The following is a 26,796-nucleotide window of genomic DNA, read 5'->3' as shown; positions in this document are numbered from 1 at the left end:
CAGACATGTTTTTTTTTTTTTTTTTTTTTTGAGACAGGGTCTCGCTCTGTTGCCCGGGCTGGAGTGCAGTGGCACAATCATAGCTCACTGCAGCCTCAACCTCCTGAGCTCAAGCAATCCTCCCATCTCAGCCTCCAGAGTAAATGGAGCTATAGGCATGCACCACCACACCTGGCTAATTTTTGTATTTTTTGTACAGATGGGGTCTCACTATGTTTCCCAGGCTGCTCTTGAGGTCCTGGGCTAAAGTGATGCTCCCACCTCAGCTCCCCAAAGTGTTTGGATTACAGACTGATTTTTTAAATACTTAAGTTTTCATTCACGTTTTGCATATAGCACAAATTTTACCAAAATGGCCATAATTCCAGGGTGAAAAAAAAAAGGAGTATGAAGTCATCAGCTGTAACAGGACTTTTGCTCAGTAAAAAGCAAAATTCAAAGATGTCATTGAATTGTAAGGTGCAATCAGTTTGGACAAGTTAAGAAAGTTATTCTAACAGATGCCTTCACAGAGTTTTAGGTGTCTCTTAAGTCTGAGTTTGTGTCAAGATGAGAATTATGAGGACTTTTCTAAAATTTCAATCAACTTGAAGCAAGGAAAAAAAACCATTATATATTGTTCATTAATATGAAATTTTAGATAAAAGAATGACCAAAACCAAGGACACAAATATATCAAAACCAAGGACACAATATAGTGTCAAATTCTGTAAGTACTTAAAAATCATTTGCTGAATTAAATTGAGCTATGCTAAATTCATATATAGCTCATTCTTTTACTCTAGAATTTGAGGAAAGTGGAGACCACTTTTAAACAAACTTGACCCTTTCGTAAAAATTGTGCTTTTGTTTGTCAAGAAAGAACAGAGAGAGTGACAATTATACATACTGAGGAGTGGTTTACAGAACTTTTTTGGAAGAAATTTGAAGCGTAAAACAAGTAACTACTTACTATATCAACTCAAATCAAAGTTTCTGGGCATTTTTCTTTGTAATACTGCAAGAAATTAGAGAAAATCAATGATGACCAATATGAACAGAGACACTGGAACTGCCCCATCTACCAGAAAGATGACCATCACAACTCCAACCTGGTTAGATATGGCAGCCAAAAGACAAGGTTTGCTCCATGACTCAAACATACCATTTTATTCAAAGCCCTCTATGATCAAAGTCTTAAGAATTACTATTTCTTTATTTCTTCATATCTGAGAAGTCCTGACAATTCTTTCAAAACTAGCCTCAGATTTTATTTTCCTATTTCCAAATAATAATAATTAACATTCATTGACTATCTACCTTGTATCAACCATTTAGGTAAGCACTCTACATGAATTCTCTCATTTAAATCCTCCCAAAAACCACCAACCACATATATATATATAGAGAGAGACAATCAGTATTCCAATTCTGGCAGTCCAATTCTAGGGCCTTTTAATGGTAGTGCTATACCACCTCTTAGATCTAGCACTTAATTCTAGAAACTTCTAGCCATTCTCCTAATCCCTAATTTATTTCTACTGTTTCACATAGTTATTAAGAAAATTATCTTTAAGCTGGGGGCAGTGGTACATGCCTGTAATCCCACCACTTTGGGAGGCCAAGATGGGAGGATCACTTGAGCCCAGGAGTTCAAGACCAGCCTGGAGAGCCCATCTCTTAAAAGGAAAAATAGAAAATCATTTTTAACTGATTTTTTACCTATGATTTTTACCTATAATTGCTTCCCTATTGAAGAAAAGTACAACGGCTTTATACATCATATTAAATTGAATCCAGCTGCCATATCAAGCCTACCTTTGGTGAACTCATCATATCCTCTCAAATTCAGGAGCATAGTGTCTTAATATAAAGACAACTTTGCTGAACTGTGGTCAATGGAATATGTATTTTTTTCCAGAAAAACAATTCTCCTGATGGTTACATTTGTAGAAATACAGGATCCAAAAGAAGGAAGGTAAAACAGCCCACTACAGTGGACCACAGTGCATCTGGCATAGCAACCAGTGTTGAGGCCTAGGAACACCATTTCAAATGAAACACTGACAAATCAGAACATGCCACTTACTGTGTGAATCTGGGCAAATACTTAACCTGTCTGTGCTGCAACTTCCTCATCCATGAAATGGGGTAGACAGTCCCTACTTCATAAGACTAGTAAGAATTGGTAAGAGTTAATACACATAAAGTGCTTAGAACAGTGTCTGGAACATGGTAAGCACCCAATAAATGTCAGGGGTTATTTATTATAGTGGGAGTGTGGGAGGAGACACCCACGTAACTCCCTTCAAATATGTCAAGAGCTGTCATGTGAGAACTTAAACTTACTCTTTATAGCTCCTGAAGGTAGAAATAGGACTGCCTAAGGAAAGTGTCAGAGAATAACTTGATTTGGGCTCAACGTAAGAATTTTTTCAAACGACAAAAGCAGACTGAAAATGAAATTGGCTCCCTAGTAAGGGAGGCAACTCCCTGCTGACTGGAAGCAAATTCTGCACATCTAGAAGGGTTCCTGCCCTAGTGTGGTTAACTGCAAAATGACCTCCAAAGGCTCTCCTAAAAGTTCACCACAGGATCTTTCAGACAGCATGTGGCACACAACAGTTACTCAAGGCATCCTAAGTTGTTCTTGCTTGGAGTTTATCTATGATTCACATATGGTATACATTTGAAAGTCAGGATAAAAAGTGCAGTCCATGTCTGTGAGACATCATTTTGAAGCCAACTGGCTCATACAGACAGACCCTAGTAGCACATGAGCCGTGTTCTGGTCAATTTTCCTAACCAGGTTAAACAATGTGAACCCCAAAACAGAATAATGTCTGATTCCCTCCTATTACAAAACACTTTGGTCCCTTCTCCAAATTAAGAATATATCCCACGACTAACTGTTTTAACCTTAACAAAAACTTACAGTCTCCTCTTGTTCATTTTACCAATAGAATCTCCTAATCTCTACCTAAGCACATGGCCATCCTGATAAAGACTACATTTTCCAGCCTTCTTTGCAGCTGGGTATGGCCATATGACCACTGGGCCAATGGGCCAGTGGGATATGAACAGAAGTGGCATGTGAAACTTATGGGTCACTTCCTTAAAAAGAAACTAATTGCTCTCCACTTTCCTCATCCCCCTTCTTATGAAATAGAAGGCAAATGTGGTGATAGGCCATTTTCATCAAAGGGACAAGCCAACATCTTAAGGGGTGGCCCAAAAAGAAGAGCAAAAAATCTGGATCCCTGAATTACTTTACGGAGCAGAGACACCTACCTGATTTGTAATAACCTGCTTAGTGTTGCTTATTAAAGAAATAAACTATCTTGTTTGAGCCACTATGTGCAGGGATCTCTTTGTCAGAGCGACATAGCCTCCCATCAGATGAAAGTATTTATAAATATGGAGAGTGGACCTCTTCACTTCAAAAGCTCAGAAGTTCATGTATAAATATTCTCAGCTAAATTCCTCCTTTAAAAAAGATTTTTATAGTGAAATTTTAAGTTCAGATGTAGATCAAGCCAACTATCTAAAGCAAACAATACTTTGGAGGGCTGAGTACCACCACCAGTGATATACTTCCTGAACACTGAAAAACAGAATGGTTTATAAAGGAAAAGACCCAAATGATAGGGGGAAAAAAGAGAACTTGAAGAAAACTACAAAGACAGTCCTTGTGGGTTATAGCACCGTGATCCTTACAGGGACAAGACAAATAATCTACCTTAATCATCTACTTGATCTTTAAAATGCTTAAGCCATTTTCAAATGTAAGACCTAAATATCAAAATTGAAACCATTAATAAGAATACAGAAAGGCTTCAAACATAATCAGATAAACACAGTTAAGCTTTAATGTCCATACGAAGCTTCAGAGCAATGTTTCTGTAGCTTGTAAAAAAGCAAATTCTTTAAAAGATAGTAAGGTATTAGGCACAGTGGGTAAAGAACTTAAATCACAGTTTTGCTTTCTCCAGATTTTTCTTGAAGAAGTTCAGAACAGCAAAAATATCCACTTCAGAATTTTCATTTTATGTAAATAAATATCTAATATCTACATCTAGACAGTTTTAAATTTTGATTTCAACTTTTTATCTTATTTAATACCACTAAGCCCACCACATTCTCAGTTGATCCCAATGTCAGCAGAAAGTATTGCTTTTCTCTTCTGGCTTTTAACAGGCTTCATGCAATGAAAAATATTCCATAACCTGGTCTTGTTATCCATGAAACCAGATTGCAACTGATTCCCTATGATGTGAGCTTATATGGAAATCACACTTTGATACAAGCAGTGCTAAGAAAACTGGGCTTTGTTCTTATTTTAATATCTTACACTGCCATACAGGCTGGCATACATACCCCATTACACTGACAATGCACAGAGGAACACAATAAATGACTCTAGAACTATAAGATAATAAATCTGTGCTGTTTTAAGCCACTAAGTTTGTAGCAACTTATTACAGCAGCAACAAGAAACTAATACTTGGGGTTGCTGACATGTAAGTTTTGAAGAGTCAGAAGCCCAAAACCCAGCCCTAGGAGTTGTGCCAAAACAACTACTTCAGATCCATTGCTTTTTCTTAGATCCTTCCTACTTCCAACTTAAATGAAATAACATATATGCACCTAACTCAATAAACGGTGGTTGCTTTTATTGCAAAACAATCCAGGGTTTAACTACCTTAACTTTTGTTTTTCTGCTCAGCTCCATTCCAGCCAGATGAATATATTCTGAAATCATTGTTCGTTTTTTCAGGTTGCAGGTTTGGAAGACAAAAGAAAATGAAGAGTAAAAGTATACCTTCCCCCAACCCTACTACATACACACACACACACACACACACACACACACACACACATGCATAATAGTGAGCCTTGGCTTCCTCATCTCTAAGGTGGAAGTGATAATGATAGCTACATGTCTTCCCAGACTGTTGTAAGAATTGAAGATATTGTAAGATCTTGACAATGGTGTGCTCATTATTATTCTATAACATGAACGCTTGAAAGAAACCTCCACTACCTATCCCTGGTATCATAAACAATTCTAATTACATTATCTAATTATCACAAATAATCTCATTTTAATGATTCTCTGAAAGAATGGGAGTGATAGTAGACAGCCGGCTTAGTAAAATGAAAGGGTAGAATTGGAAAATGGTCTCTAAGCTCCCATTCAGCCCTCCAATTCTATAACAATGTAATTGAATAAGTAAGCAGTCTCAAGTTGTGGTATAAACATATATTTTTTTCCCTAACTGCTCATTCTCAGATCCTCTCTGTTTCTCTATACTCCAGTTATTACTGATAGCTTACTCAGATTCCATAGTGTTTCATTCTGTTTCCATTATCAGAAGGGTTCTTTTGAGTCCTTACTCAGTCTTGCTCACTTTAAAATTTCAATGTCATGTTTAATTCAAGGTCTTCTCTACTTTGCAGCCCCCACGGCAAGCTAGAATGGTGGATTTAGTGGCTAGGGCTGGGGGTGGGTCTACTCTACCCACTTCTCCCTTTCTCTTCCCTGCTACACTTCCTTTCTAGTCTTAAGCTGGAGGATGAAATGAAGCCGAGGTCTCTCCATAGGATGGCCTCATAGGGATGTTGCAGGCCCCACTGGGTTGGTTTTCTCTACTCCTCAAATTAACACTGAACTGACCACTGGTTCTCTCTGTGAGGCAGGCATCCAAAGGCTGACTCTCTATGAAGTTGCTTATTCCCTATAGTGCCCTTCTTCCCCACACATTTATTATCCTGGTGTGGGAGATTTGGCATGAACATTGACCTTTTCCCTCCCATCCCTCACCAGCCCCTGTCCCAGCCTTTTGTTACCAGAGTCTCTTCACCCAAGAAACCTCTTTGGGTGGGGCAGCAGCAAGAGGACTGGATGTCTTCTACAGTGTCCTCTTTCTCCACAAACAGGAGAGCATCAGGGGCTCTGATGGTCCAGTAACTCAGTGTCTTTCAAGAAGAGACAGAAAGACACCAGTCTGAACTTATGGGGAGATTTGGTGGAGAAGGAGACAGTTAAATGCCGCCACCATTACCAGTCCAATCTTACACTTAAGAGTTATCTCTTGGCCAGGTGCAGTGGCATGTGCTGTAGTCCCAGCTACTGAGAAGGCTGAATCAGGAGGATTGTTTGAAGCCAGAAGTTCAAGTTCAACCTGGGCAATATAGTGAGACACCATCTCAAAACAAGCAAACAAAAAAGAATCATCACTTGAGTCCTTTCTCAACCTCAGAAAGGGTCATTATCTCTTCACCTTACAATGAGGTAAGTGGAAGGAATAGGCTGTCTTCAGGAACCACAAACACCCCCCGCCCCAACCTCCAAGTCTACTTTGTCCCTTCCAGTCATTCCCTTACTCAGCCTGGGGAAAAGGGTTTGGGCAAAAGAAATAGTGAAGGTAGTGGAGGTAGTGAAGCCAGCTTCTTAGTAAGGAAGGGACGGTCATGGTTGCCTGAGTATGTGAATATTTAGAGCCTTTTTTAAAGGAGTGGTGGCTAATTCCAGCACTCACAACTACTTCCATCCTAGTACACCAACTTCTACAATGATTTGTTTGTCAGGTCATTTCTCCCTATTGGTAAATCTATCATACTGAAGGTGCCACCATGAAGAATCTCCCTGGACTTTCCTAGAGCTGGGGTTAGCAAAATAGCCAAGTAGACAAAGCTTACTTTTAACGCCAATCATCACTATCGACAACCCAGAACAGTCCTCCCTTGATTCTTCTCAGGAATCTTCAGACTCAAAAGAGCTTTGGGTCCAACGATCACTGCTAAGTGTGTTAAGGTGTCAGGTGCCCATCGGTTAAAAGTTCTCCAAAAAAACCAAAGACCATCAAAATTAAAAAAAATAAATAAATTCCAAAATGTACAACTTCTGGCAGAATGATTCAAGTAAAGACATTTGTCAAGGCATTTACTCAGCCCATTTATAAGCATGGTCCCATCTGACTCCATTCCCCTCTAGCACATCTTGATCCCTCTCTTTCTCTTCACTCCTTTCAGAAACCTCAACTACTGGTCAAGCTTAACAGCTAACATTTCTGAGTGTGACTTCTCACAACCTATGCAGTTCTTACTTTGATGACGATGTCTCTGGATAAAGACCATCTTCCCAGTTGCAGGAAAGAAAACTGGGGATCAAAAGGTTACCTAAACCAGGCATGGGGACACAGGCCTATAGTTCCAGCTACTTGGGAGTTTGAGGTGAGAGGATCCCTTAAGCCCAGGAGTTCAAATCTAGCCTGGGAAACACAGCAAAACCCCCATCTCTACTAAAAAAAATAAAATAAATGTTACCTCCTGTTGAGACTTCTGACTTCCAATATGCCTGGCGTAAGTATACACACACACACACACGTGCACACGCACACGCACATAGAAACATCAGTTCATTTATCACAAAACTAGCTTGTTCCCACACTAAATAAACATGAGAAAGTATGAGGAAAAAAAGTTTTTTAGGTTTCAAATGCTTGGGAGAACCCTTTCTTTTTGGACAAGAAAAAAAAAATCACTTTAAGAGAATGTGACCAAATACTTTATTGCATAAGTGCTGTAATACTAGAGAGAGAGCCAAAGACCTGTACCTTTCAATAATTTAACATAACTTCAGATAGATAATTAAAACTGACATACAAAAGAAAGCTTACTGTACCTTTAACACTAGGCAGTCTCCAAGTTATGGGGACAAACTTATGGGTACCATTTGGCCATGACACTAAATCTCTGCACAGCAGAATGGATTCATTACCTTTAACACAATAAAGCATCCACAAGGGCACAATTTCATGACACAATCATATATTTGAATTTCCCACATATTGACTTTGCAATTTCTACCAAAAATAAGAAATTAATTGATCAGACAGAATTTCAGTTTAATGGAATTTAACAAATATTAAACATGTTCCTCCTACATGTAAGGCACTATATCTGCCTCAAAGCTAATTAGGAGGAAATCTTGACCATATAGCATCATCTCTCCTACCACTAAACAAAAGTTACAACTTCCTTGGACTGGAAACTTAAATGCTCTTTATTTTATTTATTTATTTATTTATTGACACTGGGAGACAAATCTATCAAAATATAAAATAATTCATAACAGATTACAATAATTAAGTAATGGTCCATCCTTAGCCTATATAATTTATACCAAAGTTGGACCATAAACTCTTGCTTCATGGTAAAGAAGATAACTTCAGTCAAAGAATAAAAATAAACAGGCATACCTCAGAGATATTGTAAATTCAATTCTGGACCATCACAATTAAGCAAATATTGCAATAAAGCAAGTCACACAAATTTTTTTGTTTCCCATGCATATAAAAGTTATGTTTACACTATACAGTAGTCTATTAAATGTGCTATAGCATTACATCTAAAAGCACAATGTATATAACCTTAATCTTAAAATACCTTATTGCTAAAAAATGCTAATGATCATTAGCCATAATCATAATGATTATGAGCCTTCAGCCAGTCATAATCTTTTTGCTGCTGGAGGGCCTTGCCTCCATTTTGAACACTGGTGACTGATCAGGGTGGTGGTTGCTGAAGGTTTGGGTGGCTGTGGCAATTTCTTAAAATAAGATAAAAGTGAAGTTTGCCACATTTATTGACTCTTTAGTGAAAAATGTATCTGTAGCATACAATGCTGTTTGATAGCATTTTACTCACAACTAACCTCTTTTAAAATAGGAGCCCACTCTCTTGAACCCTGCTGCTGCTTTATCAAATAGGTTTATGTAATATTCTAAATCTTTTGTTGTCATTTCAATGCTCAGAACATCTTCACAAGGAGTAAAATCCATCTCAAGAAACCAATTTCTTTGCTCATACATAAGAAGCAACTCCTCATCCATTCAATTTTTATCATGAAATGGAAGCAATTCAGTCACATCTTCAGGCTCCACTTCTAATTCTAGTTCTCTTGCTATTTCCACCCCGTCTACAGTGACTTCCCCCACCGAAGTCCTGAACCTTTCAAAGTCATCCATGAGGTTGGAATCAACTTCTTCCAAATTCCTGCTAATGTTGATATTTTTACCTCCTTCCATGAATCATGAATGTTCTTAATGGTACCTGGAATGGTGAATCCTTTCCAGGTTTCAATTTACATTGCCCAGATCCAACAGATGAATCACTATCTATAGCAACTATAGCCTTATGAAATGTATTTCTTAAATAATAATACCTGAAAGTCAAAATTTCTCCTTGATCCATAGGCTGCAGAATGGATCTTATGTTAACAGGATGAAAACATTAATCTCCTCTACATTTCCATCAGAGCTCTTAGGTGACCAGGTGCATTGTCCACAAGCAGTAATATTCTGAAAGGAATGTTTTTTTCTGAGCAGTAGGTTTCAACAGTGGGCTTAAAATATTTAGTATATCATGCTATAAACATATGTGCTGTCATCCAGGCTTTGTTGTTCCATTCATAGGGCACAGAGTAGATTTGGCATAATTCATAAAGACCCTAGGATTTTCAGAATGGTAATTGAGCATTGGCTTCCACTTAAAGTTACCAGATGCATTACCCCAGGCAAGAGAGTTAGCCTGTCCTTTGAAGATTTGAAGCCAGGCATTGATTTCACTGCTGTAGCTATAAAAGTCCTAGATGACACCTTCTTCTAATTTGAGGTTTTTTAGTGTAGCCGGCTTCATCGATAATCTCTGCTAGATTTCCTGGAGAACTTGCTGTAGCTTCTACATCAGCACTTGCTGCTTCACCTTGCAATTTTACATTATAGAGATAGCTTCCTTCCTTAAACCTCATAAACCAACCTCTGCTAGCTTCCAACTTTTCTTCCACAGCTTCCTCGCCCCTATCAGCCTTCACAGAATTGAAGAGAGTTAGGATCTTGCTCTGAATTAGACTTTGGCTTAAGGAAATGTTATGGCTGGTTTGATCTTCCATCCAGATCGCTAAAACTTTCTTCATATCAGCAACAAGGCTGTTTTTGCTTTCTTATCATTCATATGCTTCCTGGAGTAGCACTTTTAATTTCCTTCAAGCACTTTTCCTTACATTCACAACTTGGCTAACTGACAAAAAAGGCCTACCTTTCAGCCTATCTCAGCTTTAGACATGCCTTCCTTACTAAGCTTAATCATTTCTAGCTTCTGATTTAAAGTGAGAGATGTGAAACTTTTTCTTTCACTTGAACATTTAGAGGCCATTATAGGGTTATTAACTGAACTAATTTCAATATTGTTGTGTCTCAAAGAGTAGGAGGCCCAAGGAGAGGGAAAGACACTGACAACGGCAGGTCAGTGGAGCAGTCAGAACACACACATTTATCAATTAAGTTCGCTGTATTATATGGGCATAGTTCATGGCACTCCAAAACAATTACAATAGTAACATCAAAGATTACTGATCACAGATCACCATAATAGATATAATAACAATGAAAAAGTTAAAAATCTTGTAAGAATTACCAAAATGTGACACAGAGACACAAAGTGAGCACACGATGCCAAAATGAGACACGAAATGCCACCAGTAGACTTGCTTAACACAGGGTTGCCACAAATCTTCTATTTGTTTAAAAAAATGCAATATCTGCAAAGTACAACAAAGCAAAGTGTGATAATGTGAAGTTTGCTTGTACTACTAGGAGCCCCACTCCTCTCAAGGGAAAATGGAATGCAATATTAAAGTAAAGTTATAGGTATTTTATGTGAAAGGAAGGCTATGAAACTGAGAAAAAATGTATATTCAAGTAATCCTTGAGTTTCCCAAAACTGTTTTAAAAATTGGTTTTTGATTTGTCAGCTGAACTTAGTGTTTAAGATAACAATAAAAAATCTGCTATTTTATCCACACCAGCTAAGCTTCAAATCAATACTGTTTTAGAGGATAAGAACATATAGCATAAAGATTAAAAGCAACCTCTGGAGCTAGATTATTTGGACCTACTTCTTGGCTCTGCGTTTATTAGCTATGTGACCTTAGGCAAGTCACTTAACATCTCTCCATCTGTAAAAATCGAGATAATAATAATATGCATATCATATGGTTATTGTGAGAATTAAATTATTTGACACACGTTAATGCTCAAAACAATGCTAGACTCATCATACAAATTATATTAGTATTTGCTATTATTATAAAGAAAATTGCTCAGTAGGAAAACCAATTCAAGATGTTACTAGGTGTTTTATATATTAGATTAAACATAAAAATAAAGCTACTTACTATTAATAACATTTCTAAATATATAATATTTAATTATGATATGAAATCAATACTTCCAAAATATTTCAAAGCTGGAGTTTACTAAATGCTGAAGATGACTTTGCATCTTTTATATACGCCTCTAGGGGGAGCATGAGGCTCCAACTCCCTCACCTCCATCCCCACTCCCACTTCCAAACATTAGTCACCATCAATGATTAAGAAACTGCAAGTTCAAGGACATTGATGGGGTATGTTATATGGGGAGGAAGCTTTCAAAGGAGAGAGAGGTCAGAGTGCACATAGCATGGTCTTCTCTCTCTCCTCCCCAACCCAACAATCAGGGCTGACCTGTAGGGGAGCAGGGCCATCACTCTTCTGATGCCATTACCCTTTTCCTGAACCAGGCCTTAACCCAGCCTGAGCCAAGGGAGGCTTAGAGGGGAAACATACTCTCCCCCTGCTGACCATGTCTCTGACTCCTTATTGTCTAGCCCTAATGCGTGTGCCCCTGATTACACCCTAGAAGGTGTGCGCACCCTCATCATCGGCTGTCAGATCTGGGAGGTGGGGTGTGGGCTTTAAGTATACAGGTTATTTGGCTTGCTTTTGTTTGAAGTCGTTTGGGCCTTAGGGAAAAGTGCCTACAACATGGTCAGGTCTAGCTTTCTAGGGTTCTACATTGTAATTTTGGTCCCAGATAACACTAAAGTGTTCTTTTGTCTCTTTTTGCCTCATTTGTGCATCCATCTCCCTCACATCAGAGAATGTCTCACAGAGCAGGTGTTCTGAATTTGAGTATCTCTGATTGCTAAATACTCAGTAGCATCACAATCCCACCATTTCTAACCGTGATATTGTACCGTGTAAATAATACAAGTTTGCCTGCTTATACATATTGCCTGGGCTTAGTCTGTGTTTAGTACATACTTAGCATCTTTAAAAGGCTTTTGAAAGACATGCATGCAGCCAACAAATATATTTTAAAATGCTCATCATTACTAATCATTAGAAAAATGTAAATCAAAATCACAATGAGATACTAACTCACACCAGAATGGCTATTATTAAGAAGTCAAAAAACAACAAATGTTGGTGAAGTTGTGGAGAAAATGGAACACTTATACACTGCTGGTGGTAATGTAAATTAGTTCAGTCACTGTGGAAAGCAGTGTGGAGATTCATCAAAGAGACTAAAACAGAACTACCATTTGACTAACCAATCCCACAACTGGGTATATATCCAACAGCGCTCTACCAAAAAGACACATGCACTTGTATGTTCATCACAGCACTCTTCACAATAGCAAAAACATGGAATCATCTCACCAATGGTGGACTGGACAAAGAAAATGTGGGAAGCATACACTATGGAATACTACACAGCCATAAGAAGGAACAAAATCATGTGCTTTGCAGCAACATGGATGCAGCTGGAGGCCATTATCCTAAGTGAACTAATGCAGAAATAGAAAACCAAATACCACATGTTCTCACTTGTAAGTGGTAGCTAAACACTAAATACACATGAACACAAAGAGAGGAACAATAAATACTGGGGACTACTCGAAGGGGAAGGTTGGGTTAGGGTACTTGGGTTGAAAAACTAACTATTGGGTACTATGCTTACTAGCTCACAGGATCATTCATACACCAAACCTCAGCAACATGCAATTTACCCAAGGAACAAACTTACACATGTACACCCCCTGAACCTAAAAGTCAAGAGAAAAGAAGTAAAAAATGTTAAAAATTAAAGGCTCTTGAAAAAGGTCAGCATAAGAATTAATAAAGCAGATATTATCTTTCAAAGGTATTTTAAACTTTTGAATATGAAGATGTATAGTTAAGGAAAAACACAATAACCTTGCCTATAATAGCTACACACTTTCATAAATTTACAAATACAAATTAAGAAATATATGGAAACGAGACACACTAAAATAGTTTATGTTGTTTTGCCTTGATAGATTTTATTATTTTCAAAATTAACTTGCCTTCTTTCTGAAGTGATAATGATAATGTAAACAATGCTTCTTTTCTACTCACCATGTACAATCCTACTTTTCTCAAAGTAATGCTAGATTGATTATTAATAAGATGAGTTTAAACGGCACTGCTGAAAATAAACTAGGTTATATCTCTCTCTTATATTCACAAAAGATGTTACAGATAAAACTACAAATGAAATCCAATTTTAAATCCAATGGACTATTCCAATACTTCGTCATACTATGATTTTGTTGCCATTAAAAGTTAGCTGAAATACACAATACATTTGCCAATATGTAAGACCGAATGTTGTTGTTACAGAAGTTGGCCGTTTGGCCCTAATAGTTATTGTCAGTTTAGTATAATCATTAATTACCATAAACTCTGTCTATTGTTTCCTATTACAGGAACTAGAATACAGAGATGATCTAGGATAGATAGGGAGGTGAATAAGAGTCAACAAAACTACAAATAAACCTCTTTTACATTATTAAAACACTAAGATTTTGCAGAACTGAAAGGTTTCACTATAATAAAGTTTATTGATTTATTACCTTAGATTTCAATGTAAAGTCCAACACAATGATTCTCTCCCTCCTTCTTATAACCAATGGCTCATTTACTGTTGCTGAGATCCTGCCTCTTAGCTCTGTCTGGTCATCTAAAGTCGGATAGTTTTTTAAAATATACAGTGTTAAGCACATCTCAGTTTGGACATTGCTCCTGAATGTGGAGTTATTTTTAATATTCACAGTTATTAAAGCTGAACAGAATTGAGTGAGGGCGCAAAGAAGACTGATGCAATTCCTTCATTGAGTTACTGCCTGGGCCACTGCCTGATTAGTTTGCTGTGGCATTGCCTAGAAGCAGTTAATGAATTGCTTGTTCAGTAGCACCAAGGTAAGGTCGGCTGTCTCCTGATATCTTTTCATAATGCCCTGCTATGCCTGAGGTGTTATTTGGCAATAAATGTTCAATTGACATTTTACTGTACAAAATTTAATTACCTGTTTTCTCCATTGTAAAAAGGGAAAGGTTGGGAAAACACTATTCAGTCTCAATCACAATGCACGTTTAACCCCTCAATGGCTATGTAATTAACTTACACTTTTTTTAGCCTTAATATATTTTCCAAAAGGGAAAACAAACTTTGTAAATTCTGATAATAGTAGCAAACACTAATCAACAGACACTTCAAAAACCTTTCATCAAAGTAAGACAAAGCTCTTTACCTGAAGTTTATTCTTCATTTTCTTGAGAGGTGCTATAAGAAATCACATCAGAAAGACCCTGCAATAAGAAGCAACCACTTCTAAGGTGAAATGTGACCATGTTACTATGGCAATTTGAGAGAAAGTAACATTCTAACTGAAGTTGTGGGGATCATAAACCAAATCTACCTAAGAGGTTCATGCCATTCATGCAGCCAAATCACATCTCGGGAGGAGAGCCGCAGCTGAAGCCCCCAGGGCACACTCTCAGCAACCCTTACGGTAAAGTAAAGGCTGGCCAGCTCCTCTGGTTATTTCTCCAAAATCCATCCATAAGTTGGTTATTCGGAACTTTTAACACATATTTGTAGAGAATAAAATCTATAAATGCTGATTAATTCCTGGGTCAATCTACAAACGCCTATATAATCCATAGAGTGCCTAAAATTTTTAACTAATTTTTAATCACATTTAATTTCCCTTCATAACCGTCCCTATTTAAACACACACACACACACACACACACACACACACTTTCAGAGCTCCAAAAGAAGATTCCCCCATTTCCTTACTCCCCTAGATTTATATATATTCCTATGACCCAGGTATTTTTTCTGCCTGCGTATCAGCCTAAAAGAGAATACAATGCTTCACAAACTCCACTGTCTGCAGGGGTATGGGGAAAGTGGGCCTGGGGTAAAACAATAGGATGTAAGCTCCATATATTGACGCCAAGCAGAACACCTGCCAGATTGCTCTGTCTTTTCAAGTACAGCACAGGCCTAACAAAATAGCCAAAGACAGAAGAGGTTGCAATCCCTTTCTAGAATAATCAACCTCCAAATGTTCTGAACTGAAGGAAAGAAGGCTGAGAAAAGATAATGTACCCCACAAACCATAGGACCTAAGATGCGTACTCTTCTGTCACTATCTCACGTGTTCGGGCTGTTTCAAACCTAGAAGTGTTGATGGATTGTGGGACTTCTTGCATCTGAGAACCAGCCCAAGAGCACAAACTCTGAAATTAAGCAGACATGACTTTCAGTCATCACTCCACATTTTAACAGTAGCTCTCTGTGCCTTCCTTCCATACTTTAGAGAGTTTCCTGTGAGGTTTAAGTGATACAAACGTACGAAAGCTCCTAGTTTAGTATATGACTCACAGTAGTAGGCACTTAATGTGAACTGCATTCCTCTTGCCTCTCTGAGGAAAGCCATAATCTTGATAGGGGTCTACTGGTACCCAAGGGGCACCTTTAAGGCTTCAGTTCAAAAATCCACCATACCAGCCCAAGATGACATGAGAGAGTGAGACTCGCCATGATATAAAATAATGAGACATGAACAACACCCAAGTAGCTGCTCCAGTGCTGGTCTCAACACCTCATTCCCAACTCCCATCTTCATCCCCCACACCCATGTCCATGAGATCCAAGTGACAATTTCTATTCTTCCTTGCCTAGAGAATTTGTTCTTAAGTAGAACAAAAGGAAGTTGAAAAAAAGTAGAACCCGTCAATGTGTCACATACAATGGAAGAAAAATCAACTGCTATTTTTAAAATACACATGTAGCTCAGTTTCCACCAACTAATATAGTAAATAAGCTATGCTGCTTCCTATTTCCAAAACATTACAATTATTACTGCACTACAGCTATTTGGAACAGCATTTAATGTTTTGATTAATATAAAATGTACTAAAGCTTTTCTTCTTTGTGTACATTTCAATGCCAAATTTAAAAAAACTCTTGGCAAAACTGTGAAAAATGCATTTTCTCTCAATATAAAACATTTGCTATGTATTTCTTATATGATCTAGACTTTTTTTGGAAACTCATTTTTACTATGCTAAAGGGAACAAACCACAGGGCAGCAGATTATAGGGCTATAAGCAATAATCTAAAATGTTAAATATTTTAAATGCTATAAGTTTGATATCAAATACCAGATAAATAAATGGTCTTATTTCTTAATTAGAAATATATTCAAATGCAGAATAGTAAACAACTTTTAGAGATTATCAATACTGCAGGTATCCAACTTGTCATTTCAAACCACAAGTCATCAAGAAGAAATTAAAATGGATTCTATTGCATTATTGTGGTATATAACAATGCGCTTACCAAAAAACATGCAGCATTTATCAATGTCAATGCTGTTGAAACAATCACACAGAAAAATATAGGAAAAAGTAGACAGATTTTAAAAAAACTTAGTTTAATTCTCACATTGAACGTTTTTAAACCTAGGATTGGTTATATGTGGGGAAGAAACACAATGTCAGTAGAAAGAATTTCTGAAGATGCATACAGATAAATGTTGTCATTGTTTTCCTCAGCTCAGAAGAAAATTGTTTTTTCAACTAAACACATGTTTTCACAAATTATGGAGGGCAAATTTACTAAAAACATTCTTTTTATTAATATACAAGACAGTCTGTTTTCTGTCAGGATAGCACTATTCTGAAACAATACCTTAAATTGAGCTGACAAGAATTTAATATTTGATGATTCACAACCTTTCAGTGGCTCAGCATTATGAATATCAATTATTACTGCACTACAGCTATTTGGAACAGCATTTAATATTTTGATTAAAATGTACTAAAGCTTTTCTTCTTTGTGTACATTTCAATGCCAAATTTAAAAAAAAATCTCTTGGCAAAACTGTGAAAAATGCATTTTCTCTCAATATAGAACATGTGCTATGTATTTCTTATATGATCTAAACTTTTTTTGGAAACTCATTTTTACTATGCTAAAGGGAACAAACCACAGGGCAGCAGATTCAAGAATGTCACCAGAAAGGTTCTTGATCTCAGAGACGGAGTGGAACAGAGCTTACCACCTGCCTTTTTTTCTCCTTAGAAGGGCGTTAAGGCCTCTGGGAACAGACCCCAATGACTGCTGCCCACCAAAGACCTACCAGATTACCCCCTCTAGGCTTCAAAAATGCTTAAAACTATGAGACTTGTAAAACTCTAGCCAGATTTTTTTGTAGAAATCAGGAGCTGCTATAGTTCATCATAGACACATATAGATATATCTGCTTACACATGCATGGAATATTTTGGAAGCATACATAAGAAAGTGTTAACATCTATGAGGGTGGACTACATAAGTGGGAATGTGGAGTGTCTGAGGGTCTTTCCTTCACACTCCTTTGCAACATTTGATTTTTTAAATTATATGTATGTGCTACTTTTCCAATAAAAACCTAACATAATAATTCACTTTATTTTCTAATATCTTTAATTTTAAAGGCCATTTACCAAATGTTAATTGCATTTACTATTAAATAGGGGAAAAATCAAGTTAATATTCTGTTGTCTCCCTCCTTTTTTGTCACAAAAAGAAACTTCAAAACAAAAGAGGCACCATTACTCAGCAATGACCCTTCTGAGAATATAAACCAGCATAGTACAATTCACAAGTGGCAAACTCAGTTGCAAGAATTTGTATATTCCTTATACTCCATTACTTTTGTTTTTTACAACATTATAGAGCCGTTTGCTCTTTATTGTCATATATTTTAAAGTCTCTTGCAGTGCCTGTTTTACACACACAGGACACCATGTAGTATCAATACAGTAGAATCCAAAATGTATGTGTTTCCTAATTGTGATGTTTTTTAAGTTTGAAAACAGTGTGCTTTCTGACCTGTGGGTTAAAAACAAAATAGTAATTTCCCTTTGTCCAAATTCACACCCAGAATAGAACACTCCTGTTACATAATCAAAAAGCCACAAAATAACAGAAACTACTACAAGCCATTTGTAATTACCACCCACTCTTCTTTATATATTATAGAAACCTCTCCACTGATTTTAAACTTCCATGTGTCAGTGTTGGGAAAAAGACTTTACTGGAGCCACATTCTGTGGTTAGTCTACCTAAGCTGGTGCTGGGAGCTTGCAACATGCGTGATGCACTGGTTACGCAGCTTAACCCTGAACAGAGCTTTTGAATATATTAGTGAACCCAATAAATTCAATAGTAAGTAAAAGTCCATCTTTCATTGTCATTGAGGGATGTGTGTGTGTGTATGTACACACACACATATATACTTACATATATACATACATACATATCGTTTTATACTGACTGCTCCACCAAAATCAATTTTAATCTGACATACATTTGATTGATTACTCACATGCATTTACACTGAGGCCCTTTTCCAGAGCCTGTGCGAGGGTTCTTTCCTAAATAACCTTACCCCAAAGTCATGCTCCCAAAAGAGGAAATCTCGAACAGAAGAAACAAGCCCCAAGTGGAAGGAAGATGGAAAGAGAAAGGGGAGGAAAGAGGTTTACAAATTCCTTGCCAAATGGATGGAGAGAAATTCTGTGAGGTGATTAGCGGGTCAGGAAGCGTTTTCCCTGGATGTGGTGGTAACCACAAGGACCAGTGATAATGCTTGGGGGATTGATTGCTTTCCGGTTGTGCTTTCTGCAGCGCAAAAACTCTGGGCTCTTGCATTGCTCTTTACTGTGATGCAGGGTCCACTTAAAACTCTGCCTCCCTACCGGGAAAGTTCACACATCTTGGGATTTCGGGATCATTTAAGTCTAGAGGGATTCTTTTTTTACACTTGAGAGTAAGCTGTGCATTTTCTTCATTGTATGGGAAAAGCTAACCCTTCATTGGAAAGCAATGCACAACCATCCGGTGGGTCTGCATTTATCCAGAGTTCTCCCTTCCTCCCTCCATCAACGGTTTAGTGAAGCTTGCAGAGAAAATGAGGGAAAGCATCCATCAGAACGCAAAGACGCAGAGCGGAACTTTTCCTCTGCCGTCAGTGGGGAGAAAAAGTCACTTGTGCGTCTCGTGGCTGACAGCTGAGTCTGGGAACCTCCGGATAAGGAAGGAAGGTTTGGCGTTGAAGGAGGTGGGAGAAAACAATGCTGAGCCCGGATGCCTCCGGACACCGCACATCCTGCCCGGGTCCCTGACCCACCCATCACCCACAGCCACGCTCCCGGTGCGGCGCGGCTTTGCTTACCTTGATGATGCTGCTGCGCCGGGGGGTCGCCCGTGCTGCCTCCAGGAGGCCCGCCTCGCTGTCCGCTGGGGTCCCCGCGGCGCCTGGCAGTGCGACCCCGCTGCGACGGTCCCTCATCCGGCCCCCAGAGGCCGCCGTCACGCAGTCCCCGGCGGCATCCGGGCCCACTCGGGGGTCGTCTTCGCCCCCCGCCGCGTCGGGCGGCGCCGGATCCTCCCTGCCGGCCGCGCCCTCGGCCATGGCCTGGAGCGTTTAGGGCTCCCCGGGGGAAAGCGGGACGCCCGGCAGCGGAGTCCAGCCGCTAGGCACCGGTGCGCTCCTGCACCGGGAGGCGGCCCCGCCAGACTTTGTTTCACCGCCCAGCGGCGGCAGTGGCGGCGGCGGCGGCGGCGGCGGCAACTTTCTGGAGAGGGGACATCGCTCGGGCAGAGACGTCCTCGGGCTTCGGTCTAGGAGGCTAGCAGTCCGGCGGGGGACGGTGGCGGGAGTGGGGAGGCGATGTGAGCGGGAGGCAGAAGGAGAGGCGAAAAAGAGAGGGAGGTATCCGAAATGTGATGCAAACGCCGGCCCTGCGCCAGACAAAAGGCACCGGGCGCCCAGCCAGGCGGCCTCTGGAGCCCGGACGCCGGCGGCCCGATAGGGGCCAGAGCCGGGCGACTGCGGCCGGGCGCACCCGCCACCTGCCCGCGGACTGCGGCGCAGCGGTCCCAGGAAGTGCGGCGGCGGCGGCGGCCTCCACTCAGCTCTGTTGTGACAGGGAGGGAGACTTGTTTTGACAGCCCTTGGGGATTGGCAGGCGTCTGGGCCTCTTAGGAGCCTCGCCTCGCCGAGGGGGCTCGGCCCGACCAATCCTCACTGCGGAGGGGTGTGCCCGAGCGCGAAGAATGGAATGTGTTCTGCAACTGGGAGCCGGCCCAGCGGGGCTAATGTACTCGAGCCAGGGTGTACCCGCGCGCGCGCGTGTGCAAACCCGGAGGCGCTCCGTGTATATTTTAGGAAGTTTAGATTTGCGAAATGAGCCTGAGATGCAACAAAAATCCAGGTTGGGTGAAGGAGAGGGGAGAAAGAAACCTTCTTCTGCCAAACAAAGCAATTTGGAGGAAAGTGGGTATTGAGTATGAATGTCTAAGCGTTTGGGGTGACGGGGTGAAGCTTTGCGTGGTCACAGGTTAATTGCAGGCTCTCAGGCCAATTCTTAGAAGTCAAGTCCATGCAGAGATAAACTAGGGTTTACTGGGATCTTGGGGTTCCATAATTTGCTTCAGGTTCCAGGAAAGGATTCTAAGGTCATTCTGCAGTGTGAGTAAATATAACAAGGAAAGGGAGTCAGTGAAAGAGATGAGGGTGAAAGGAAACTGAACCAACTAAATCCCTCCGAAGACTGACTCTTAAAAAGCACAGATATAATCCAAGTCAGATAAATGCAGGTGGGGAGTTTAGTCTCTATCCTAAAACATTCCTATTTGACAATGGTTCAGCCTCCTTTCTCTATATAATCCTATATAAAAACATATTTTGCTCATTTCCAGTAAGCTAGCAACCAAGAAGGGAGAGATCTTTGGATGATGAGTTAAGTCACTGAAATTATCCACAGAATGCTCAGATGCAAACCATGGTCCTAAGGCTCCCTGGTAAGACAAAAGACTTGGCATTTTAATTTTAAACTCCTTTGATATTAGAATCTATATTAAACCTCACTTATAACATTACATTTTATCTTATTAATAATTTAATAATTTGAGATTTTACTTGTTCCTTAGTCTGGCTAACAGCATGAGAAATTATTCAGCATTTTAGACCAACAATTTGGTTTGAATCTCATAATTTTAGAGATATATGGGGATTTAGGGATCAACTAGGACATCATTTTTGTTTTACGGTTGAGACAAAGGCCCAGGGAGTCTTGTCTACTAGTTAGTGCAGGAGCCAAAATTAGAATCAGCCACCCAACTCCTCCGATAATCTCTTCACTACTTTATCTGTCTCCTCTGGGCTACAACCAGCCAGAACTGGCAGGGGCACTTGGGAGGTTTCAGATTTGACATTTATCAACTACTAGGGAATACTGAGAAGGCTTGACTTTGCCTTTTCTTTAAACATAAATGCAGCCTAGTAATGAATGTACTGTAGAGAGTAGCAGTGACCTCTGGTTTTAGAACCAACACCACCCTCTAGTGAGATTCTGAGAACTGCATCCATAACAGCAAAGGCTTCTTTTTCCCCCTCATCTTTAAAAGACAGGAGGGGTAACCCAACAAAAGTTTCCTTTTCAACAGGTATGCCTTTACAACGCACAGACTAGAGGAAGAAAATAAAGTGTACCCAGACTTAAAACAACCATACATGTCTTCCATCTCCTTTAGTTCAGGGAATTCCTGTCTATGCTATATAGGAAATATTTTTAATTGCTATCCTCAGAAATATATCTTATTTTAGGCTATCATTTTTTTCTTTGATATTCAACTATTATTACATTTGACTTCTGTCATTTACAGTTGTCAGTGCTTCATTTTTCTTTGTTACTCTAATAAAAGTCCCATTCTTCGGTTGTCCTCTGAAAAATGTAAAACTGCCTTTATCTCACTCATTATCTTGTTATAGGATATTAATGTCATTTATAAGTTCCTCATCCTACAGATTTGTGTACCATTATGATAATAATTTATTTTTACAAATTTTAAAATTAGCATCACTTTATTAACAAACATTCAAGGTCAGTGATTTAAAAAAAAACAGAGGCCAGAAAGTACAGCATATAACTTGCAAAATGTTGTATCTTTCAACTAGACAATGTCTAGTTGGACTCTTTTCTCTTCCTTGGCATCCTTCCCTCTCACCCTCATGTGAAAGTGCACACACACACACACACACACCCCTCTGATTCCTTTGCTCTGAGCCTCTATCCGTAAAGATTGTTGTCTAAATTACTCTGCTTTGATAAACTAGTTGGACCCTAATCTAGCAAGTCGTTTATATTGTTGTGTTCCAGCATAAGCTCAGAAGGCTTTTCCTGATACTCATGTTTGCAATTGAAAAAAAAAAAACCCCTCCTATGTACTTGCTCCTAGCCAGGAGCAGATTCTGCTTTGTGGACCCACTTCAAAAACTGAAAGAGACTAGCTAGTTTCAGTTAAGTCAGCAGCCATGGGCACATTCCTACCCCTGCATTAACAGTCCCTCTTTCCAAATAGCTGTCACCTACAATTCTTGCCTCCCAACCTTTTACCAAGTCATGGTGACAATTGCTAGATTGGCAGATTGGAATTTGGGGGTGAGCAGGGGTAGGAAGGTAAGATATGAATAATAGTAACGAGCAGGAAATTCAAATGTTACTACGTCAGAAAGGACTCTCTAACTACAAATCTCAAGTTGCCCCTACAAGCCTCAGTACATGTCAGTCATATTGTGTTTTGTCTTCTCACAGGATTTTATCACTGTGAACAAACTGTCTTTTCCGTGGAATTGTTTACTTACATATTCTGTTTTACTTTCCCCCTATCTCTGCTTCACTGAAATGTAGAATGCCATCTCCATGTGCCTAAAGACCTTGCGATTTTATTCATTGCTGTATCTCCAGCTCCCAGAACTATGTCTGGAACAGAGTAAGTGCTCAATAAATATTTATGGACAGAGGACTTTTGCAGTCCTGTGACTAAATAAAATAATCAATCTGATAAAGAAAAATGGTTCTGTCACTGTCTGCATGGTAGAACTTCTCATCCTCAAGGATCCTAGAATTCCATTTTAGAGCAGAAATCAGAACAGATCCACACCAAGCAGCTACAAATCTCAGAAGAAGGGCACTTATTAATTGGAATGACTTGAAATCTAGAATTAGACTGAAATACAACCAATAAGAACTAAGCAAGTTCTAGCAGTCCTGAAAATACCTAGACCAGACTAAAAGACTAGATATGTCAATATAGTCCTTCCAGCCAGGGAAGTCCAGAACCCTGGGCCTGAGAAAAAACCAGTGAGAATATTAAGACTTTCCATATACTACCAGGAAGTCATAGTGGGGGGAAAAGAACTATCTCTTTGATAACTGCTTTCTATGTACCAGATAATCCTCTCTGCAGTATTCTGATCTCCACTTCACAGATAAGAAAACTGGGGATCAAAAGGGTCAAGTAGCTTGCTTGAAGTTAGAGCCAACTAGGAAGTGAAAGAACCAGCATTTGAGGCAATGTTAGTGACTTCAAAGCCTGCATTCTTCCTGCTACCCAAAGCTCTCATAAGATACAAGTCCAGTAGCTGTCCTGGAGAATGAAGAGCCACTCCTTCAGATCTGGGACCACTCATATTAACCATGACAACCTCCTCTCTCAACATCAACATGACCTTTATGTCATCAGCATGGACCACCAGTATGACTGATTCATTAGTGCATGAGGAAACACATTTATCATCTCATTCACATATGTGTAAGAAAAATATTTTTATATTGAGACAGGTCTCCTAATAAGTTAAAGGACGCATTGCACGTAATCAAAGAAGAGGACATACAGCATTTTCAGTTAAGTTGCATGCATCTTTACATTCAGTCATAGCCCTCCCCAATATACATGGTGATCATTTTGTTTTGCTAGCTCAAGAAAACAGAATTTGTAGGGTAATTTGTAGAGTGAATATTATAGTAGAGTAAATACATACAAGTCAATAAAAGATAAGCAAAACTTGATATATGACCTCTTTGAAATTCAAGTTTTTTCTTGAAAGTTTTTGTCACTTATATTAGGAATTAAGAAATTTCAGTAACTAAAACATAAAAATCAACTAATCTTATTTCAAAGAACAAGTAAAGTGTGCTCCATTATAACAGTCCTACAAAAATGAGAAGTTACAAATTGCTTATAATAGGTCTAGATTCCCCAGTTTAATAAATCTTTAAAGTACTGAGAGGCAATGAATCTAAGAAATCTTTAATTACAGCCAATGTTCTTCAATGTCTGATTACTGCTGCTTCTTTCAGAGGTTGAGAAATCTCTACTGTCTGCAGGAGAGCAGAATGCCTGGGCCTCTATCCATTAACACCATTCCCACAGGAATTACCCCATGAAGACCCTGGGGCTAAGGCACTATCAGGAGCTCCAGGCCAATCATCTGGCAGTAGTCTGTATTGTGCATGGCAAAGGTCTTTTAAAAATAGACAGTGTTGATTTATTTTCTATGTATTAACTTACTTTGACGTGGATCCTGGAGTTGGAGCTCATGTCACGGTTTTTTCCCCCACTGATGCAGAAGCCAGAGGCACTTAGGAAAAGTACCACTGAAATGGCACAAATAAGGCCCCCATAAAAACTTGATTCTCTGTTTTATTTGACAACCGAATCTTTTCCAGGTACAACGTTATGACAGAAATCTTTTCAAACCAGATATACACCCAATGCCTGACATTTTCAATGCAGAAGTGAATATACAGTAGGTTCCTCCTCCCCTCGAGCCCCCAAATCCCAGGTACATTCCTCAAATCTAAATCACCTACACGATGTTGGGGTTTTTAATCCTCCAACTTATACCAAGGTATGAAGTTTATTAATGCTTTTTAGTGTCACAGGGCCCATTGGAAGAAACTGCAGAGTCATATTTCCTTTTCTAATGCACTTCTTTTCTCCACTCATAATGTGTAAGACTCTTACACCTATTTTATAGACTTTATTGATATGCCTTTGTTCTAGTCTACCTTAAACCTTTCGGGAGGAAGAAGCAGAGTGCAATATTTGAATAAATATAAAATCATAATGCATGTTTTACATTAAAATATAGGACAAAAGTAAAGTATAGTTTGTTTTGTAAGCCCTTTTTTTCCGAGTTAGTTTTCAGGTATATAGCTCTTTTGTTAAGCATGATACGAAGTTTGTCTGCTTTACAAAATGAGGAGTTAGAAAAAGTGAATCCTTCCTTTTAAAAAAAAAAACAAACAAACAAACAAACAAAAAAAAGCCAAATGCCTCATGAAAGCTGGCTTGCCAGCGTTTGCTCTGTCATTAACCCCTGTGAGAATCACGCAGTTCCCACTCTCATTAAGTCATATAGGTCACCATGGATACAACTGCCTCTACTCAGCCCACAGTACGGGAGCAACAGCTGTTGAACCACACTTGGGACTTTTGCCATTCACTGTTCTGTATAAATTGTACTGGTGAAACATTTCAGATAATGTTACAATTGTTTTTGAAATTTTAAGTATGTTGTAGGAAACATCTGAAATATTAGACAACAGTAAAGGACTGAAATTTAATTTAACTTGTGAAATAGAATAACAAGTAAGAAGCACCGTACATTTTGTGTAATAAGATGTTGCGGCACTTTCTTCAAATTTTCTCCTAACCAAAATGAAATTTTAATAACTAAACTGATAGCTGCAGATAAAATCTACTTGGAAGATTCTTTGACAAGCAAATACTTAACTCTGGGCAAAAACCACAAAACAGTACTATTTTATACTATAATTTATAAAGGAAGGAATATGTTTTCTGATTTGTGATGATCATTATATTTCTCATCAATAAGCTACTGTGAATTCTAAAATTCAGAAAAGTAAAATATGTAGTTAAAATTTTACCCTTCTGCCTACCATAATTTTTCTATATTCAGGATATGGATTAAAGAGATTTTACTTTGTTTTATGAAAATGTGATGAGATGGTCTGTGATCTGTGATTGAAACAAAAAAAAATCAAAAGGAGTGTCTTTATACTTAACACCCAGTGGATAATAAAAATAGCATTTATTTAATTATAAAAAGTAGCATACACAATGTATTTCCTCTTATTTCTCATCTTAATTCTCACCACTCATTAATCCACCAATCATTAATAACATTCACTACTGTGATCACACGGAAACACTTCATTAACACTCTTTGTCATAAAGCAGATCTTTATACCCTGGGGGATTTTTACTGATCCTCCCTGGAGGAGGGTCATACATCCTCATCCCATTTACAGTGGGCTCAGCCATGTGACTTGCTTTGACCAGTGAAAGAAACCCCTTCTAAGCAGACGCTTTAAAAGCCAGCATAAATTTAACTATGATCTCATTTTCTCAGCCTCGAGATTGTTCACCAGACAGGGGCTGAATCCTGAGTGAAAGTGGCATGGAGCAGAACTGAAGCCAATCTATAATAGACACGTAACATGAGCAATAAAACATCCTTTGTTGTAAACCCCTTGGATTTGAGGGTCATTTGTTACTGTAATATAACCTAGCCTCTGCTGAGTGATAGAGGTATGTAAGTTTACTGAAAGCCCTGTGCTTTCCACAACCATGCTTTCAGTTCATATGGCCGGATACTGTTTGATTCACATGTAACCAGTAAACATTTCTGGCATCTAGTAAACTGGTACAAACTAAAAACTTTTATATATCCAATAAAATTGCATATAATGAT

At 38.9% G+C, this 26,796-nt stretch overlaps 1 protein-coding gene and 1 long non-coding RNA gene across 6 annotated transcripts in view, besides 1 other annotated feature; one reads left to right on the top strand and one right to left on the bottom strand.

Moving 5' to 3' along the window:
- The window catches only part of PLCL1 (phospholipase C like 1 (inactive)), a 345,271-nt gene extending 325,120 nt beyond the window's left edge, over nt 1–20,151 (bottom strand). The window contains exon 1 of one of the 2 annotated variants that reach the window (NM_006226.4): nt 19,405–20,151. In NM_006226.4, the coding sequence (NP_006217.3) occupies nt 19,405–19,644 (240 nt within the window). In that variant the 5' untranslated portion in view covers nt 19,645–20,151. Of the gene's footprint in view, nt 1–14,421; nt 19,381–19,404 lie in introns of those variants that run through there. The other variant, XM_005246643.5, reaches the window with a different exon arrangement.
- Nucleotides 19,975–20,104: a silencer, noted in NCBI's record as "silent region_12217". NCBI's record gives its function as "represses an Ori minimal core promoter by ATAC-STARR-seq in GM12878 lymphoblastoid cells {active_cell/tissue: GM12878}" and the evidence as "EXISTENCE:reporter gene assay evidence [ECO:0000049][PMID:35858748]".
- On the top strand, nt 20,198–26,571 carry LOC105373828 (uncharacterized). Of its 4 annotated transcripts, none has more exons than XR_001739850.3 (4): nt 20,198–21,035; nt 22,925–23,006; nt 23,858–23,920; nt 24,377–26,571. It is a non-coding gene; the product is annotated as an uncharacterized LOC105373828 (long non-coding RNA). The 4 variants fall into 4 exon arrangements; XR_001739851.3 differs by having other exon boundaries at nt 20,237–21,035; nt 26,455–26,571; XR_001739852.3 differs by having other exon boundaries at nt 20,237–21,035; nt 23,854–23,920; nt 26,455–26,571.
- The last annotated feature ends 225 nt before the right edge of the window (nt 26,572–26,796 follow it).

The sequence above is a fragment of the Homo sapiens genome, chromosome 2, assembly GCF_000001405.40.
Source record: "Homo sapiens chromosome 2, GRCh38.p14 Primary Assembly".
In the NCBI taxonomy this organism is placed as follows: domain Eukaryota; kingdom Metazoa; phylum Chordata; class Mammalia; order Primates; family Hominidae; genus Homo; species Homo sapiens.
Note: the sequence above shows the minus strand (reverse complement) of the source record. Positions and strands in the feature narration are given on the sequence as shown.